At 57.1% G+C, this 17664-nt stretch overlaps 1 protein-coding gene and 1 long non-coding RNA gene across 7 annotated transcripts in view, besides 4 other annotated features; one reads left to right on the top strand and one right to left on the bottom strand.

Moving 5' to 3' along the window:
* The window catches only part of ASIC4 (acid sensing ion channel subunit family member 4), a 31680-nt gene that overhangs the window by 9103 nt on the left and 4913 nt on the right, over positions 1 to 17664 (bottom strand). For 4 of the 6 annotated variants that reach the window (NM_018674.6, NM_182847.3, XM_047444916.1 and 1 more), the window contains exon 1: positions 14364 to 15188. In NM_018674.6, coding sequence (NP_061144.4) covers positions 14364 to 14945 — 582 coding nt within the window. In that variant the 5' untranslated portion in view covers positions 14946 to 15188. Of the gene's footprint in view, positions 1 to 12401; positions 12466 to 14363; positions 16530 to 17332; positions 17441 to 17664 lie in introns of those variants that run through there. The other 2 variants (XM_047444917.1, XM_017004439.2) reach the window with 2 other exon arrangements.
* Positions 5759 to 6259: an enhancer, noted in NCBI's record as "H3K4me1 hESC enhancer chr2:220388133-220388633 (GRCh37/hg19 assembly coordinates)". NCBI's record gives its function as "activates a minimal SCP1, AML or CMV promoter by ChIP-STARR-seq in naive H9 embryonic stem cells {active_cell/tissue: H9 hESC(naive)}" and the evidence as "EXISTENCE:reporter gene assay evidence [ECO:0000049][PMID:30033119]".
* Positions 6260 to 6760: an enhancer, noted in NCBI's record as "H3K4me1 hESC enhancer chr2:220387632-220388132 (GRCh37/hg19 assembly coordinates)". NCBI's record gives its function as "activates a minimal SCP1, AML or CMV promoter by ChIP-STARR-seq in naive H9 embryonic stem cells {active_cell/tissue: H9 hESC(naive)}" and the evidence as "EXISTENCE:reporter gene assay evidence [ECO:0000049][PMID:30033119]".
* Positions 12584 to 17664, top strand: part of ASIC4-AS1 (ASIC4 antisense RNA 1) — a 35355-nt gene continuing 30274 nt past the window's right edge. Inside the window, exon 1 of the long non-coding RNA XR_923921.2 lies at positions 12584 to 12974. This is a non-coding gene — a long non-coding RNA (ASIC4 antisense RNA 1). The remainder of the gene's footprint in view (positions 12975 to 17664) is intronic.
* Positions 15090 to 15265: a silencer, noted in NCBI's record as "fragment chr2:220379127-220379302 (GRCh37/hg19 assembly coordinates)". NCBI's record gives its function as "represses an EF-1alpha promoter that drives an FKBP-Casp9 reporter gene in an ReSE screen in K562 erythroleukemia cells {active_cell/tissue: K562}" and the evidence as "EXISTENCE:reporter gene assay evidence [ECO:0000049][PMID:32094911]".
* Positions 16550 to 17191: an enhancer, noted in NCBI's record as "H3K27ac-H3K4me1 hESC enhancer chr2:220377201-220377842 (GRCh37/hg19 assembly coordinates)". NCBI's record gives its function as "activates a minimal SCP1, AML or CMV promoter by ChIP-STARR-seq in primed H9 embryonic stem cells {active_cell/tissue: H9 hESC(primed)}" and the evidence as "EXISTENCE:reporter gene assay evidence [ECO:0000049][PMID:30033119]".

The following is a 17664-nucleotide window of genomic DNA, read 5'->3' as shown; positions in this document are numbered from 1 at the left end:
CAAAGTCACACAGCTGGGAAGAAGGAGAGGTGCACCTCATCGAGGGGCGAGGCTCCAGCTGCTCCTGCAAACCATTGCTGGCACCCCCCACTCCAAGCCTAGCCTACCTCGGGATCCAGCTCCTGCCCCAGCCCCATCCAGGTAGATGAGACAGGAATGGGCCCCAGTCCCGTCCCTTTCTCTTCTCCCATTCCTCGTTCCCTCCTGCATCGTTCCTCTGTACCTTCCTCACCCTTTCTTCTCCATATCGGCTTCTCTTCAATTCCTTTCCTGTCCCCCAAGTCCTCTCCTTCCCTCAACATCCCCCACACACCTTTACCAGCTCCCAGATTCAAGTCCTTGACCCCACAGGTATCACCCCTGCCCTCCTCCCTGCTATGTATCCATCTGTGGGGCAGGAGTGGGTGTCATGGACAGCTCAGGAGCACTCAGTATGCCCCATGCACTGTGCTAAACGCTTCACATGTTCTATCTGGATGAATCCTCACAACTACCCTGTGAGGTGGGTACTATTATCTCCCCATTCTACAGAGAAAGAAATGGAGGCTCAGAGAATTCAACTGGTTTCCCAAGATTTTCAAGCCCAGGGCTTAAACACTATTGTGCACACAAATCAGGGGGATCTTTTTAAAGTGCAGAGTCTGGTAGAACAGATGTGGGGAGGGAGCTGGACAAGGCTGAGAGTCCATGGGCCACACTGTGAGTAGAAAGGCACTAGGTAAAGGAGGAGAACCCAGCAAGACAGCCCGACTCTAGACCTGTGCTCTTATCGCAAGTCACTGGAGGTGGAGGAACTCTGAAATGGGCCTGGTGCAAGATTCCTCTATCCCATCCAGGTGCAGTGGCTCACACCTGTAATCCCAGCACTTTGGGAGACCAAGGAGGGCAGAACACTTGAGGTCAGGAGTTCAAGACCAGCCTGACCAACATGGTGAAACCACATCTCTACTAAAAATACAAAAATTAGCTGGGTGTCATGGTGGGCACCTGTAATCCCAGCTACTCAGGAGGCTGAGGTAGGAGAATCGCTTCAACTCAGGAGGTGGAGGTTGCAGTGAGCTGAGATCACACCACCGCACTCCAGCCTGGGCAACAGAGTGAGACTCCATCTCAAAAAACAACAACAACAACAACAACAAAAAGTCCAGACCCCAGGACTCACGCATGTAATCCCAACACTAACACTTGGGAGGCTGAGGAGGGCAGATCACAAGGTCAGGAGTTTGAGACCAGCCTGGCCAATATGGTGAAACTCCCGTCTCTACTAAAAATACAAAAATAAGCTGGGTGTGGTGGCGGGCTCCTGTAGTTCCAGCTACTCAGGGGGCTGAGATAGGAGAATCGCTTGAACCCAGGAGGCAGAGGTTGCAGTGAGCTGAGATCACGCCACTGCACTCCAGCCTGGGTGACAGAGCAGGACTCTGTCTCAAAAAAACAGAAAAACAAAATTCCTGGGTCCTGGTGGTGTGGGAAATGCTGATGGGAGGCATATATTAGTATTTGTAGAAATCTGAAAGTACTCAACCTCTTCCTATTTCAAACCAAGAAGATGCTAGAATCAGCTCTTGCTGACACAGCCAGTTTTGCGTATATGCTCCAGTTGAAAGGCTAAAGAAGGCATGGGCGACGTGGGGTACCCACGTTATGAGCTCCTCACTCATGTCCCTCAGCATTCAGCACCACCTCGGCGGAGCCCTGACTGCCAGGCACCGTTGTGGTGTCTCTGAAGCTCAGCCTCACCCATGGGACCATGAACTCCATGTGACCAGGAGTCCTGTTTCCCTCTTGGCATCCCCAGAGCCCAGCGAGATTTGCAGAAGGAGGTATGAGGTGGGAGGAAGGAAAGCAAACACTATCAAACATCCCGACTTTGTACCAAGTCCTGTGATAGGTGCTTTTGATCTATTTTCTCCTTTGAGTCTCCAAGAAACCCATATGAGCTAAGTATTTTTGCCCCCATTTAATGATTAGGTACCTGAAGCTCAGAGAAGGAAAGTGACTTGGCTAAGGGCACACAGCAAATAAATGACAGCCGAGATTCAAACAGAACTGAACCCCAGGTCAAAGCACAGTAGGTGCTTATAGAACACCTGGTGGGTGTTCAGTGAATGAATGGCTCTTGGAGGCTCCTGACTCTCGGAGGGGCTGGGGCAGCGTCCCTACCTGGTACCTCCAACAGACACACACAGACACATGCTACATGGAACCGAGCCCACCCTACACAGGGCAGAACGAATGCCCAGCTGGCGAGGGTGGTGGTTCCTTGGCACACAAACCCTCAAGGTGGCTGTGCAGAGTCGGGGTGACAAAGGGAGATGGGTGGAAGTTGTCTGGGTCTCAGGGATACTCTGCAGGGAACGGACTGGCCAGACTGGCAGGAGGAGGCCACCTGCACAGCCCGGGTCAGTCCTGACTGCTGGTCAGAGCACAGCGTTGCCCAGGAGACAGTCCCTGGGCCAGGCAGGCAGGGGTGGGTGGAGCCATCAGCTCCTAAGTGGCAGAACTCTGGTGGCAGCACAGCCCACAGCTTCTTCCATGGAGACGGCACGGCAGCTCTGCCACAAGGTCCCACAGGTTGTCCACTGCTCCCTCCCCATGGACTGGCCCAGGAAGAGGGGGCAGTATGCAAAGGAGTTGAGAGTCCAGGGTCCGGTCACGGAAAGGGGAAGGTCGTGGGCCAGGGAGTGTCCTGATGGCAGAGGGGCTATCTCCAGATCACCAGCTCTCAGCCTCTGGGCCGTGTCCCCATCTCAGACCCCCATGTCCTCCTTTGGTCTGGCCCTCCCTCTCTCTCTGCCTTAGCTCCAGGTCCACGCTCCTGGCCCTAGCTGGGGCATGTGTCCTCCCAAAGCCCCTCCCGGCCTTGGCTGACAGCTCCTAGACAGGACTATGTCTGTGCTGTACACTGACACTCAGGTCCCCTCCCCCACCTTCCTTCTGGCCAGCACCTGCCTGTCCTTCTCTGATCACCTCCCCTTTAGTGTTGGCCTGAACCCCAGCCTGGGTCTGTCTGCCTCGCTAGCCTCTGTTTCCTGATCTCAGTCTGTCTCTCGAGTCCTTCTCTATCCGCCTGACCCGTCTGTCCCTGCCCCTGATCAGTTATCCACTTGGACTCTGTTTCTCTGCCCCTGCCCTCTGTTGACCTGTCCATCCCCTTGGCCTCTTTCTCTCCCATTGTCCTGGATGCCCCCTGACCTTTTTGTCCCTTGCCCACTGCACTCTCTATCCTATTTGCTTTCTTCTCTATCCATCCCTTAGTCTGGCTGTCGAGTCTCAGCCTCTTGTCTTCCTCCTAGACTTTTCCCTGGGCCTGAGGCTCCCCACCCTGACCCAACATGCCAGGAACCCCTCTCCAGGTGCCCTCCACCTCCTTCTCCCTGGCCCCTCTCTCTCAGGGTCTGCCTGAGACAGTGATGAGGGGTTGGGAGAGAGTTGTCCAGAGCTTGCTCCTCCTGAGAGCAGTGGCTTCTCTCAGCCCTCGGAACTCTATCTATTCACAGCTTCCGTTTCTCCAGAAAGCTCTCTCCCTGGCTGGCTTGCTTGCATCCTCCCTCCCTCGCAGAGCCCACAGGGTTAACAGGCAATTAGCGGGGCCAGGGCTCAGAGCTGTGGCAGGGGGAGGGCCCTGGGCCTCCAGGAGATAAGAAGCAGCCAGGAGATGCTGAGGCCAGGCTAATCCCAGAGCTAATCTTCGGCCTGGGCTTTATCTCCACTGCCTTCTGGGCACCCTGCCTCTGGTCCCGGCACTTCCCCTGACATTCTTCCATGGTATCCCTTCCCCCAAATTCTATCAGCTCTCCCCTTGATGGGGTCCACCCCCATGCCTCTCTCTTAGGTACCCCTGGAATGAATTCTTCTGCCCCTAGGTCCAGAGAGGGCCAGTGGAATGGGGTGCATCTTCATCTGCCCTGGACTGTGACCAGCACCCTGGGGTGGAACAGCTCCCAGGGCCTAGCTTTATTCAGGGGTGGCCCAGTATCCAGGTTCAAAGCCTCTTCCTTCCCTATCCTTTCCAGGTGCAGAGGAAGGAAGATGGCACCAACCAAAATGCCTGAGGTGTCTGCGCTGCTCAGAACTTCGAGGTCACTCAGTCCAATCACTCATTGTACAAAGGCAGAAACAAGCCTAGAGACGGCAAGGTTCAGATCCAAGGGCATGCAGAAAACAGGTGCAGATTCAGAAGTGGACCCCAGGTTCACGGGCCAACATCACCTCCCTGGGAGTCAGCAGGCCCTGGTTTCAGCTCCAGCTCCATCACAGATAGCCTGTGTGACTTAGGTTAGTAAAGTGATTTATCAACTTCTCTGGGCCTCAGTTTCTTCATGTGTCAAGTAGAGACAGAAATCCCTGCTTATTTCACAGATTAGTTGTACATCTCAAAAGAGAGGAAGTATGTGAAAGGCATTTGCAAAGTGCAGTCATATACGTGCACCAGTAATAAAGGTTTTGTAGAGACCAGCATGAACCAAGCTAGGGCAGAGATTGATCACTATGTGGTGCTGGAAATGGATACACAGGAGGCTCATAACATGGGGAAAGGGGCATATATTTTGTAGGCTGACAGAACAGGGTTCAAATCCAGCCTCTCCCACCAACTTTGGACAAACAACCTCAGATGTGTGATTAAACCTCTCTGAGCCTCGGTTTGCTCATCTGTAAAAGGGGAATGGTAATTCCTCCTCCTAAAGTTACATGAGAGGATTAGAGATCAATTCAGTGATTCCTGGCAGGTGCTCAAGGGAGGGGTGAGGCCCTTTGGGGAATGGAGCTTCCTGCCAGGACAGTGCAGCCATTTTGATCTTGGATCCCCACTGGGCGCAACCTCACAGGGCATCAAGCACCTTGCAGGCTCTCTCTGCAATTTGGGAGCGGCTTAGAGGATGGAGCTCTGTCACAGCGAAACCCCCAGGCTCTGAGATATGGCTCTCCTACCAGATGGAAAGCCCAACCTAGTTTACATCTGGGCCTTGCCCTTAGTTAAGTCTGTGGGATTCAGATTCAATCAATTAACCTCTCTGATCCTCCATTTTTCATCTGTAAAATGGCAGTAACAACAGGCGCCCTTCAAAGGTGTTATGAGGAAAGACAGAATGTACGTAAATCATAGCAACCACTAATATTTACTTAGTGCTTACCTCTGTGCCAGGCACAGTTCTAAGCACTTTATATAGATTAACCCCTTAACCCTCACAAAACTCCTATATGGCAGTAGTCCTATCGTTTTCATTTTACAGACAGGGTAACGGAGGTACAGAGAGGATAAGGAAGCTGACAGGGGACCAGGCAGTCTGGCCCTGGAGTCCACCCATAGCCACTGTGTGACATACACTTGGCACACAGTACCTACAAATAGTAGGCGCTCAAGAACTGGTGAATGTTCAAACAACACTTACTTTGTCCAACACTATTCATTGAGCCTGTGCTCAACAGTGTCAGGCACTGTGTGCTTGGTGCTGGACATGCAACAGAGAACAAAACAGACAGCCTCTGCCCTCAAGGAGCTTGCTGTCTGGCTGCAGAGACATTCATTCATTCAAAGTACTTATGGGCTAGGCACGGTGGCTCACACTTGTAATCCCGGCACTTTAGGAGGCCAAGGTAGGAGGATCGATTGAGCCCAAGAATTTGAGACCAATCTAGGCAACATAGCGAGACCTCGTCTCTACAAATAATAATAAATTAGCCAGGCATGGTGGCTCACACATGTAGTCCCAGCTACTCAGGAGGCTGAGGTGGGAGGATCTCTTGAGTCTGGGAGGTTGAGGCTGCAGGGAGCCACCGTGATGGCACCACTGCACTCCAGCCTGGGCAACAGAGCGTGACCCTGTCTCAAAAAAAAAAAAAAGTGCTTATGGGGCACTTACAACATAAACACTTTGAACTGCACCAGGCATGTTCACAAATCCACCAGTCACACAAATGGATAAATTGTTACTAGTTGTGATCCTTGTAGTGATGGGGTGACCTAGCCAAGGTCACCACGGTGGAACAGGAGCTCAATTTGGCTTGCAGGGTCAGGAAAAACTTCTCTAAACAAGCCACCTGGCTCACCCAGGAGGGGCATCAGACAATGCCACACTCAAGAAAGAGGAAGACACAGCGCCCTCAGCAGGCTTAGTTCTACACGTGCATACAGGGACCCCCCACCTCCACCGCCACCCATGAGCTTTTCAGGGCCACTTCCTCCCTACAGTGGATCTAGGAGGCAATGGCTGAGGTGTTTGTTCAAATGTAAATGTGTGAGCTGTGGTGGAAGGGACAGGGGAGCCCTAGGAGCCAGGGAGGGCTGGGGGCCGTGGAAGAAGGCTGTGGTCCCCGGCGGGCGCCGCGCTTCCACGGGAGAGGAGAACGGGAGGATGAAGGCCTCCGGGACCCAGGTAAACGGTCAAAACCATTCCCCAGGCAGCGACCGCTTAGGCCTTACACCCTAGAAAGTCAGTTTTTAATTGGTGAATTGGTAAGTAAGTCCTTCCCTGACATTCCCGCCCCTCGATGCAAAGTTCCTCGTCAAGAGTTTTGCTTATACAGTGGAGCACACTCCCACAGCCAGGCGGGAGTTCAGGAGACAAGACAGAAAGAGGCGGCGGGGACGGTGGGTGGGTGGGTGTGCGCCTGCCAGGATCCCTGGCCCCCCGCCCTCTCCCGCACACACAGCCTGGCCGCCCAGGCCTGGCCCACCCGCACCCAGAGGGCCGCACCCACCGGCTCGCGCGCCTCGCCGCCCTCCGCTCCCTCCCGCGGGCCAGGCATCCATCACGGCTCCCGAGCGCCCTCCCTCCCATCTCCTGCGGGCTCCTCCGCTCTCCTCCCTGGGTCTGCCTCATTTGCATTCCCCCGGCTCCCGGCTCCTCGGCAAAGTGACCTCCGCACACAGCAGCGCCAGAGGCTTCCACCGCGGAGGGAAACACCGCCGCCCGCCCCCGCGGCGGCCGGGGAGGGGGCGACGGGGGCGGGGGTCCCGAGGAGATGGATGCGGAGCTGGGCCTGGCTGGCGGGCCTGAAGCGGCCAAAAGGCCCGGGGCCGGGGGCACTGAGGGACTTGGGTGCTCGGGTGGGATTTGAACCCGCGACCTCAGATCCCCAGCCAGGCGGGAGTGAGACATGATCAGCACGAGGCCCGGGAGGCTGCGACCAGAAACGGAACCCCTACTGGGAACCTGGGGCTCCCCAACGTCCCGTTTCCTTCCCCCGTGAGCCCCCACTGGGGAGGGGCCGACCCCACCGGGCAGTCGCCCAGGGGTTCCCAGCCCTCCCCGGGGACCTGCCCAGCCCCCACCCCACCCTCCGGGCCCGCCGAGCCGCCTCCCCTCCCCCCGTTTGGTATTTACACCTTCCACACATTTGTAAGCTATTATCCTGTCCACGCTTAGTCACCGCTGAGCCAAGCGCCACGGATTTAGCTCCTTTAATCTTTCCTCCTAAATCAATCCTCCATTTCCCCTTAATCATCCCGTGGCTCCTCTCTGAACTCTTGCTGCCGCCTCGGCTGCTGCAGCCCGTGCCTATCTCTCTGGAACTGCTCCCCCTCCAACCCAACACCCACGGGTGTCCCAAGGGCATGGTGAGCATTTGAGGGGTGGGTTGGATTTCCAGCGCTGCCAGCCCCAGCCTAGGAGCCAGGGGAAGAAGTGCAGACCCCTGCCCACCTCTTCCTAGAAAACACACCACTGAACCTTCCCATCTCCACTCTCAGGATCTCTGCCCCTCTGTCCTCCTCCTGCCTTCCCATCCTCACTCATCCTTCTGAAGACCCTAAGTTTCCACCATGATTTGCAAAAAAATTAAAAAACAAACAAACGTGGCAGATCTTCTCCCCTCGGGCCTCCTGCCCCCAGTGCTGGCCGTTCCCACCTCCTCTTCCCAGCTGCTCAAAGGAGGTGGGCTGCAGGGCCAGCCTGGAAGGGCAAGGAATACTTATAACTCAGGAATACTTATAACTTATAACTCAGAGGCAGCCTGAGGCCGGCCTCTGTCCCCTCCTGCAGGGTGGCTGTCCATCTCTCCTGGACCACCTCAGGCTCCACCCCCTTCACTCCCTCCTGCCTGCCCATGGGACCCACTGACGACTCGGGGACTGAGTAGCTTGGGTCTTGGCATTCCAATGCTCCCTGTAGTGCTTCCTGGGTGCCCCTGCCTCTCCATTCCTGATCCTTCCTGCCCCCTGCCTGGACCTAGCAGAGGCAGCCCTGCCGCCAGCCACAAGAGGGAGCAGATTCCTCCCAAGAAGCAGAAGGGCAGGGGTGGGGGTCCAGGAAGGAGTGCGGGCAGGGGAGACAGAGGGAGGATCAGAGGGGGACAGGACGTGGGGCCATTTCTTCAAACGCTAATCAGCATCTTCCGGCAGTGTCTGAGAAGCTGAGCTGATAATGAGCCCAGCTCGGGGCTGATTCCTGATTAATGAAGAGGCCACGGGGCTGCTGAGTGGGGCTGGGTGGGGCATGTCCCTCATGGCCCTCCCACTGCCCTTGAAGACCAGCCCTCTGAGACAGTAACAGTCACTGCCCTTCCCTGCCAGGCCACACCACTTACATCCCCTCCACCCACTCCACTGCCCAAGCAGGCAGGCTGACAGCACCCCTCCAGGAGGGTCTGAGCCGCAGCTGGTGTGGGGTGGAAGGTGGGGAGGGTGGGTGCACCTGGTTCTGCAATCTGAGGGGTTGGCAGCCCTCAGTATTTTTTAAATCAGTTACTGTTCTATTAAAATAATCACGATTTGGAGCTGCTTTTGACAGACTGGAAGACCCAGCCATGCTGGGCTCCTCACACAGGGCAACAGTTAGCTAGGGCTGAGAAGCAGCTGCGTCCTTCAAGACTAAGTGGTCTTCAGTTCTCCTCAGACCCCACCCTTCCCTACTGTATCCCCCCACCCCAACCTGACCTGCCTGGCTCCTGAGGGCAGGATCAGCCCTGAACCAGATGTTGAACTAAATGTGCTTAAGGCTCATGCCTCAGGAGAAGCTGGGACCACAGGGAACAGAGGGCTGGACAGGCAGGGGGAGTCAGAGGCAAGCCTGTGCGGTAGATAAGAGGCTTGAACCCACCTCAGTGGGCACCCTCTCCCTTCCACAGCCAACGGGGCAAGGGGCAGCCCTTGGAACCTCCAACCCAGTGGCAAAGATGTAGAGTTGGGATGGAGTGTGGAGTAGCTCCTCCCAGGGCCAAGTGTAGGGGGTGGAGGGCAGAGACTGTCAGTAGTGGCCTGACCACACACTGGGAAGAGAAGGAGCTAAGGAGGTCGCTGGGACAGAAGGAGTGGGTGCTAAGGAGCCCGAAACTGGGTCCTGGGACAGCCAGAGAGAGAGAGGGCTTGCATGCTTTCTGTGCCTCAGAGCTGTCCTGGCTGGCGGCTGGGTGGGGCAGGGAGAGGAGAGAGGAGGGCAGGGGAGGGACTGCCCAGCTGGAAGAGGCCTTGTCTAATTGTGCCTGATTAGTAGAGAGGAAGAGAACAGGGCGAGTGATTAATAGTCATGGCAGTCACCAGCATGTGGAGAAGGAGGGTCGGGAGGGGGAGGGAGACCGGAGAGCCCATAGGGGATGGAGATAGTGAGGCGCCCACAGGGCCCCAGGCTCCTGGCCCCCCGGGGCTGCCTGGACCCTTGAGGACCCTGAGGAGTGGGGCTGGCTCCTACCCATGCCTCCTCAGGGTTTCTTCGCCTCCCCCAGCCTCAATTTTCCAGACAGTAGCGTGGAAAAGACCAAGGTCATGTCCTGCACCTGGGAAGAAAGCACCTTTGCTCACGTGGTGTCTCCAGACACCCCACTGCCCCCAGCCCCCAGCCCCCAGACACAGGCCCTATCCTCAGCTCCACCTGAGATCACAGCCCACAGAGTAGATGGCCCGACTTCCAGTCACAGCCCGCAGCTACCCTTTATATCCTGTGGTCCCAGTTGTAATCCCAGCCCTGCCCTACCCAGACAATCTCATTCCTAGGGCCATCCAGAGCTGCGCTGTCCAACACGGCAGCCTATAGCCACGTATGGCTATTTGAATGTAAAATTCATTTTCTCTGTCGCACTAATCGCATTTCAAGTGCTCAACAGCCACATGTGGCTAGTGACTACCAAGTTGGACAAGCACAGGTGCAGAGCGTGTCCATCACCACAGAATGTTCTATTGGCAGCACTGATCTAGACAGTGTGTGCGCACTCCTGCACCTATGCACACGTGCATGCATATTTTGGAGGGCTGGATAGAATGGAAATGCTAGTACAGGGCAGAGGAGGGTGTGGGCCAGAGGGTCAAAAGCGGGGCGATGACTAGGTAATGGAGAGTAATGAAGATGCCAGCACATGGGTCGGAAACCAGTAGGTGGTGCTGACAACAGTCAGGTTAAAGATAGCCAGCAGTTGGGGTGGCGGCATTTATAACAGCTGACGCTTACACAGAGTATACGATGTGTGTGCCAGGTAGTGTGCTAAGCTCTTTAGGAGCATCTCTTTAATCCTCACAACAACCCCCAATTTTTAGGTTCTAATATCCTATTTAAAGAATACACCCAGCACTTTGGGAGGCCAAGGCGGGCGGATCACGAGGTCAGGAGATCGAGACCATCCTGGCTAACACAGTGAAACCCCATCTGTACTAAAATTACAAAAAATTAGCCGGGCGAGGTGGCGGGCACCTGTAGTCCCAGCTACTCAGGAGGCTGAGGCAAGAGAATGGCATGAACCCCGGGGGGCGGAGCCTGTAGTGAGCCGAGATCGCGCCGCTGCACTCCAGCCTGGGCAACAACGAGACTCTGTCTCAAAAAAACAAACAAAAAAAAGAATACACAAACCGATGCTCACAGAAGCTTTTTGGCTTCCCCACGGCCACACAGCTTAATGCGTAGAGCCGAGGTTCGAATCCTGGTGGTCCCCAGGTGAGAGGAGATGCTGAATTTTAGAGCCACCCTTGCATTTTACAGCTCAAGAAATGAAGCCTAGGGAGAAAGAGTGATTTCTGCCTTTTAGTAAGAGGGCAGGCTGAGAGCAGGCCGCAGTGGGGAAGGTAGAACTGGGGCTTGGAGGAAGGGGGTGTGGGTAGCAGATGGCGGCAGGAATCAGGGAGGAAGGGAGAGCTGTCTACAAGGCTGGGGGTGGGGGACATACAGGTGGTAGAATGGGCGGGAGTGAGATGGTATGAGACTGAGTGAAGAGGGGAGGGAGAAGAGAGGAGCAGAGGTAAACTAGCTGGAGCTAGCCACCATGCAGAGCAAACATACGGGGCCCACCTCCCAGGGCCCTCTCCTCTTTCCTCTCTTCCCTCTTCTCCAAACTGCCCAGCCTGCCTCATCCCCTAGGCCCTCCCAGCTCTCCTCCACCCAGAATGGCCTCTCCTTCTCTGAACTCGACCTCTTACTACCCATGCACCTCGTCTGGCAATTGATCCTGGCACCTTATGACACCACTTGCATGGCTGATTAACTCTTGCATGGTTGCTTAAACTTCTGAGTGTCCCTGTCCCCACTCTACGAGACTATAGGCTGCTTGAGGACAGGGACTGGGGACAGGGCTTCCCATCTTTGCTGTCCTCCACAGCTCTGAGCAGGGAGCCCAACACATAGTAGGCACCCAGAACTCCATGTTGATTGATTGACTGACTGATTGGGAGTGCATGAAGGGATATTAGGGAGCGTGGGGGGAGAGCGATTGCAGTGGTAACAGAAGCAAGAGCAGCAGCAGAGGGGACTGGGGGAGGGCACATTACCCGGAGTAAAAATAGGCTGGAAAATGTGACATTTATTAACTTGGATTCCAGAGGAAAGGTCACAGCAGAGTGGGGAGTGGGAAGGAGGAAACAGGGAAAGCAACAGAAAACACATAACAGCCCCTTGGTGAAGCCTGTCCCTGTCTCTGACCATCTCACCACCCATACCCCGGCAGGCTCCCCACCAACCAGCTCACATACCCATCTCCCCACCATAGACCCCAAATCCCCATCATTGACTCCAGGTCCTCACCACAGAGCTGATTATGGACCTCACGTCCTTTTTGGAGACCCCATATCTTCATCTCCATGCCCATTCTCCAGTCTTTCCCCTGTAATACACCCCATCTTCCCCACTACCATGGATCATGGGCCCCCAGCCCAATCTGTAATTCCAGACCCTGGTGAATCTGCAGCAGACTCAGCCCTTGAATGCCAGACCCAAGACAGAGTTACACTCAGCAGACGGGGGATGCAGTATGTGCAGAAGAGTAGGAGGCTGGGCTGGAGACAGGGGAAATGGAAATCCCAAAGGGGAATTCCTGTCCCCCAATGCTAGCTATGCCCTCTACCCCCACTGTCCTGCACCAGGGCCAGAACCTCAGCCCACGGACTTCTACCATCCTCCTTTCTCCAGCCCCAGGGTACCAGAGGGCCTGTGGGAAATCCACCCACACTCCTCCAGGCCATCCCCAGGATTCCGGGGACTCACCAGCCTTGATCAGAGGATCCCCGTTCCTGTATCCTCCAGGCACCGCCTCCTAGCCTGGAGACCAAGCAGAACCCTCTGCCTCCCTCCCCTTACTTCCTCACCCCCTCCAGCTCTTCCTCTCCTTTCCTCTCACTGAGGTCTCATCACCCTTCCCCTTTCCTGCCCACCCCCAACTCCCGCTCGGGGACACAAAGATCCCATTGATTTCTGTCCCAACAGCACCTGCTAAGACTGAGCTCTGCCCAGCTCCCAATACGGAGTGGTGAGGATTGAGGACAGCAGAGCCCTATGGATCCCAAAGGCCACACTCACCCTCCATATCCCACCTCCTCCTCGGGGACTCTACCAACCCTTGCTTTGGGGAGCAGTGCTTTTCCCTAGGAAAGGGGGTGTACAGCCGGACAACAGGCCAATGCCCCCGACTCTTCTCCCTGCACAATGCTCCTGCTCCTGTCCCTCTATTTCTACCTAACTCCCCTGCCCAATGGCGGGAGGCCCCAGACACTGCAGGCATGGTGGGGGCCAGGAACCTCGTTGGCTGGAGCATGTTTCCTGGTGATCCTGAGGCAGCGGGTGAGTGAGAACCTGGCGGGGGTCCCTATCACTGGGGCTGGCTGCTGGAGGCTGGGCTGGAGTGGGCACCATGTTGACGCCAAACATTTGCATATGCACTGGGCAGTGGCAACGAGGATGAAACATACACGCATGCACACACAATGCTGGGAGCAAACTGTGGACTAGGGACAAGCATCTCGAGCGCCATGAATACTAGATACCCTGTGACTATGGGTGAATGGAGCCCTGACAGACAGGCAGTGTACAAGACACGCCCACCCCCTCACATACCTGACTGTGGGAGGCGTGCATGGCAGAGCAGCCCAAGCTCACACCCCTCTCCCGGAGAGGGTGCTTGTGTTTGTGCTCACACGTAGGTGACAGATGGCGCCAGCAGTCTCCAAATGGGGAGCAGCGGTTGGGATAGATGGGGGTGGGGGTGTCATGAGAAGGGATGGCATCCACAGTGGGACCCTGTCCTTGGCAGCTAAGCGAGAGCTGGGAGCTAGACATGGAGATGAGTAGCTCTCTGGGTGTGGGTGTGCAGGTGTGCATGTGAGTGTAGTGACAGGGACAGTGAGTGAGAGAGGGAGTGTGCAGGAAACTGTGTCCCCCAGCAGTGCGTGTGCGTGTGTGCGTGTGCATGTGTGCATGCACCCGTGCTGGGGCAGCAGTGAGGGTGAGTTATGCACATAAGAGTGAACCAGTGATTCCCAGTGTAAGAGCCAGAGCTGGGCATGGGAGCCGCTAGAACAGGAGACAGAGGGGGACTGGACCCCAGGAGGGCTGGAGGGCAGAATGAAAGAGGGATGTGTGAGGGAGTCTGTGAGGCAGGCATGTGAGAGACACACAGAGATCCAGAAGAGACACTGGCACCCAGTGTCCTGAAGACCGGGTCTCTCCAGCCTGCCCACCAGGCCAGCTCCCCAGGAGGCCACCCGGGGTCCTTCCCTAGATGGAGCCCCCCAAACCTCCCCTCCCTATCTCCTTCGTTTGGTGGGAAGAATCCAGTAGCCTCAGAAGAAAAAGGGAGCAAGAGAAAAGTGAGAGTCAGTTGGTCTGGCCTTGGGATGGTGCGTGCGTTCCCTGCAAGCCAGCCAGCTCCAGGACACCTGGGCCCATGCCTAGGAACCCCCACCCCAACTCCCAGACCTGGGCACTGCAGCAGCAGCAAAACCAAGAAGAGGAGCAGCAGGCGCCCCAGGGTAAGCCCCTATGAGCGGCCACTGCTCCATGGCTGGGAAGCCAGAGGGAGACGCCAGGCTTGGGGAAACACGAGGCCAGCCTCTGGTGGTGGAATGAAGGGAAGCCCTGTTGAGGATGCCCCTGTACACCACTGCCACCACTCCTCCCCACTCCCCAGCCTCCGGCCATCCAAGGCCAGGCAGCCCAGCTGGCAGAACTCACCACAGAGAAGTTGCTGGCGGAGCAGTGATGCCCACTGAAGTTGCAGCTCTTAAGCATGTCGGCGAGCTGGTGGCCAGTGCGGTTGAGGATGTCTACCATGTCAGGCTCTGGGTAGCGCAGGCCAGCCGCACGGTGCCCATCCCGGTCTTTGGGGGGCAGCCCTGTCAGATTGGCCAGGTGGAAGATGTCGGCATCGCTGAGTGCCGAATGCCGGAAGCGGTTGATATTGCAGAGGGTGACAGCCGGGAAGCCCGCCACTGGGGCTGGGGCAGCGGGGTCCATTGCCACCAGGTGAGGCCGGGTCAGGTAGCCCCGGGCCAGGCCAGCCGCCTGGTACAGGAAGGCAGCCAGCGAGGTGAGTAGGGCCAGTGCCCACAGGGTTCTGCGCAGTCCGTGGGGGCCTGGGCCACAGGCCCGGCCCAGTCCATGCAGGGTGCTGGTGCTGGCAAAGGTGGCCAGGTCTCGGGGGGCTGCTCCAGGGGCAACAGCCCCGAGGAGGCTCTGCTCATCCCCTGCCTCCTTCTCCTTGGGTTTCGCATCCTCCTCAGCAAATTTGATTTTGCACACAATCTCGATCGGCATCTGTCCCCGGCTGCTGGGACTGGCCAGAGCCTCCCTGCCCTGTCCCTCCCTAGCCAGCAGCCCTGGTGCCCTCCCGAGTGGCAGTGGTGGCAGCGGCTGCTCTTCTAAACTCAGGGCAAGCGGGAAGAGGACAGGGACAGGGTGGGGGCCCGAGGTGGGGGAGTCACTCCCACTCCCAGCAGCTCCGCAGCCCTGGTGCTGCCTCTGCCGCTGCTGCCTCTGCTGCCGCTTGTCTCTCTCCTCGATCGTCTCCTTGTGGCTTCCCTTATCAGCACCAGCACAGCTGTCAGCCCCTGCGTGTGTCCCTGCGAGCGAGCGAGTGAGCGAGGGAGCGAGCGCTGCTCCGCCACGCCGCGCAGCCCCAGCCGCTCCGCTCAGCATGTGCTCCGGAGCCCTCCCCACGCTTAATAATTCAGGACATGTCAACAGCGTTTCACCGGCAGCACGGGCGTCAGGAGCCAGGCCAGGGGAGGGGGCAGTCCCCAGCCCAGGACAGAGATCCCAAGACTGGGGCTATCCCCCAAACTCCTGCTGCACCCTAGCCGCTCACTGGGTCCCCAGATCTCCCCACTTCCTGGCCACCCAGGGAAGGGTGCCGTGCCCAGGGTCCTCAGCTCATTCTTTGCCACTTTCCTGGCCCACACCCCATGAAGGGTCAGCCAACTCTATCCCCCCACCTCCTGGCCTCTGAGACTCCTGACTCCAGCACCCAGCCACCACCTGATCCCACTACCCGACTCACAGCAGCTTCCAGAAACTCCTTGAGAGAGCCACTTGTTTGAATGACGGAGGGAGGGGGGCAGAGGAGGGCAGGCTAGACAGACCAGGGGACAACTGTGACTTCAAGATTCTCAGCTTCCCTGGAGCTTTGCTCCAGACTTCAACACCCACCATGCCCCTGCCCCCTCTGGGAGGCTGGCTGCCCTCACCCTCATTTTGCCCCCAACCCCAATCTCAGTCATTCATATGTCTGGGACAGACAGCACCCTGGCCAGCTTGCATATCTGTGGCCACTTTGCTTCCCCAAATGTTCCCCAAATCCCTTGCCACAACCAGGCTTCGGGGGAGGGCTGTTGGGTAAGCAAGCCAGGGAGCAAAGGGGAGGTGTGCTTCCGGGGTGCTCTATATGTAGGGGGACAGGGCATGCAATGGAGGGAGAGGAAGAGCCCCAGTGGGGGCGTGGAAGGGAGCAGGAAGATGTGCTGGGCGTCAATGGGAGCGAATGCTCTCCTAAAGAAAGGGGTTTGAGGGGTGCCTGGCAGAGTGGGGCAGGAGAGCCCTAAGGGGTCTGCTGTGTTCTCGTGGAGGGGAACAGGCATGTGGGCCATCATCATAGGTGGGGGTGGGAGCCTCAGTTGACTGGCCAGGAGGGGATGCATCCATGCCCCCAGGGTGGGGGTGGCAAGAATCAGTGCTTGTGCTCTGGGGCCCCATCCGACAGCATGTGCCCTCACGGGGGAGGAAGCCCTTGTCCCCGGGAGGAAAGGGGGGCTGATTAATCGGGGCGCTAATGAGCAGCAGGGAGAGGAAGCGTGGACGGGCGGGGGGAGGTGGCTCCATCGATCCAAGCCGCAGAACCAGCAGCTGAGAAAAAAAGTGAGAAAGGAATCGATCTGAGGGAAACGGCAGCTGCTGGGGATTAGAGCCCGAGGTCCACCCGCTGCCCAACGGCCACCCCGCCCCCTGCGTCAGGCCTGGCCCCGCAGCCTCTGCCTGGCCCCAGGGGAGGGGCCTAGGGATGGCTCCCTTAGCAGCTGGAAGCCACTTTGCCCACCCTGGCTGCAAGGCCAGGTCAGGCCCCATCAGGGTCACCCCAGCATGGAGCCTGCCCACACACCCAGCCCTGACCATGCGTGGTGCCCTGCTTAGGTTGTCCCTAGCCTTTAGGCAAAGTGGCTTCCCCAGGGACCCCACAGCTGGGCTTCCCCACAAGCCTCCAATGAGTCTGGGTCAGCTGGTTCCCCAAGCTGGGAAGATAAGACCCCTGGGGCAGGGTGATGCATCTGGCTGGGACATAGTGTCCCAGAAGGGAAAGTGGGATTGGCATTGGACAAAGCCGCTGAGTTAGCACTGAAAGTGGCCAAGTGACCACAGACAGCCCCCTCTCTCTGTCCCATGCCCAGGCAGCCGCCTCCTATGCTCTCCCCTCCCTGGTAGACTTCCAAACCTTTCCAGAACTCCCCCCACTGTTCCTCCCCATCCTTCTCTCTCTTCTCCTTTCTCCTAATATTGATTTTTCTTTACTGTTTTTTTTAAAAGGTGATTTAATTGCTTTTTAAGGTTACTTTAGTCTGGGGCTTTGCCAAGAAAGCGGGAAACTGCCCCCCAAACTCTCCGCAGCACTCGTTGCTACCCTGGAGTGCATACATATCTCTAAATTCACCCACCATCTATTGAGATCTTGGGGTCACACTTCCCCGACAACATACTGGCCTCCATCATGAGACAAATCACATCCTCTTTCCTCCTGAGGGTAGGCAGGATGCCTTCAACCTCTATAAGGAAAGAAATCGGGTGGTAACTGGGTATAAGGGGCATGCGGGGGGTGCTGTGAGGGGAGCTCCAGGCTGCCAGGAAGTGGAGCAGCAATTAGCTGCATGCACACCCCCACCACTGCCCCACAGCCAGCTGTCTCCAATTGTCCCCAAGCCCCCAGCCTCCAGTCTCCCAGATCTCCAGGAATCTGGTGATGTTCTGAGGGAGTGCCCCCATACTTCCA

This window comes from Homo sapiens, chromosome 2 (genome assembly GCF_000001405.40).
Source record: "Homo sapiens chromosome 2, GRCh38.p14 Primary Assembly".
Taxonomy (NCBI): domain Eukaryota; kingdom Metazoa; phylum Chordata; class Mammalia; order Primates; family Hominidae; genus Homo; species Homo sapiens.
Note: the sequence above shows the minus strand (reverse complement) of the source record. Positions and strands in the feature narration are given on the sequence as shown.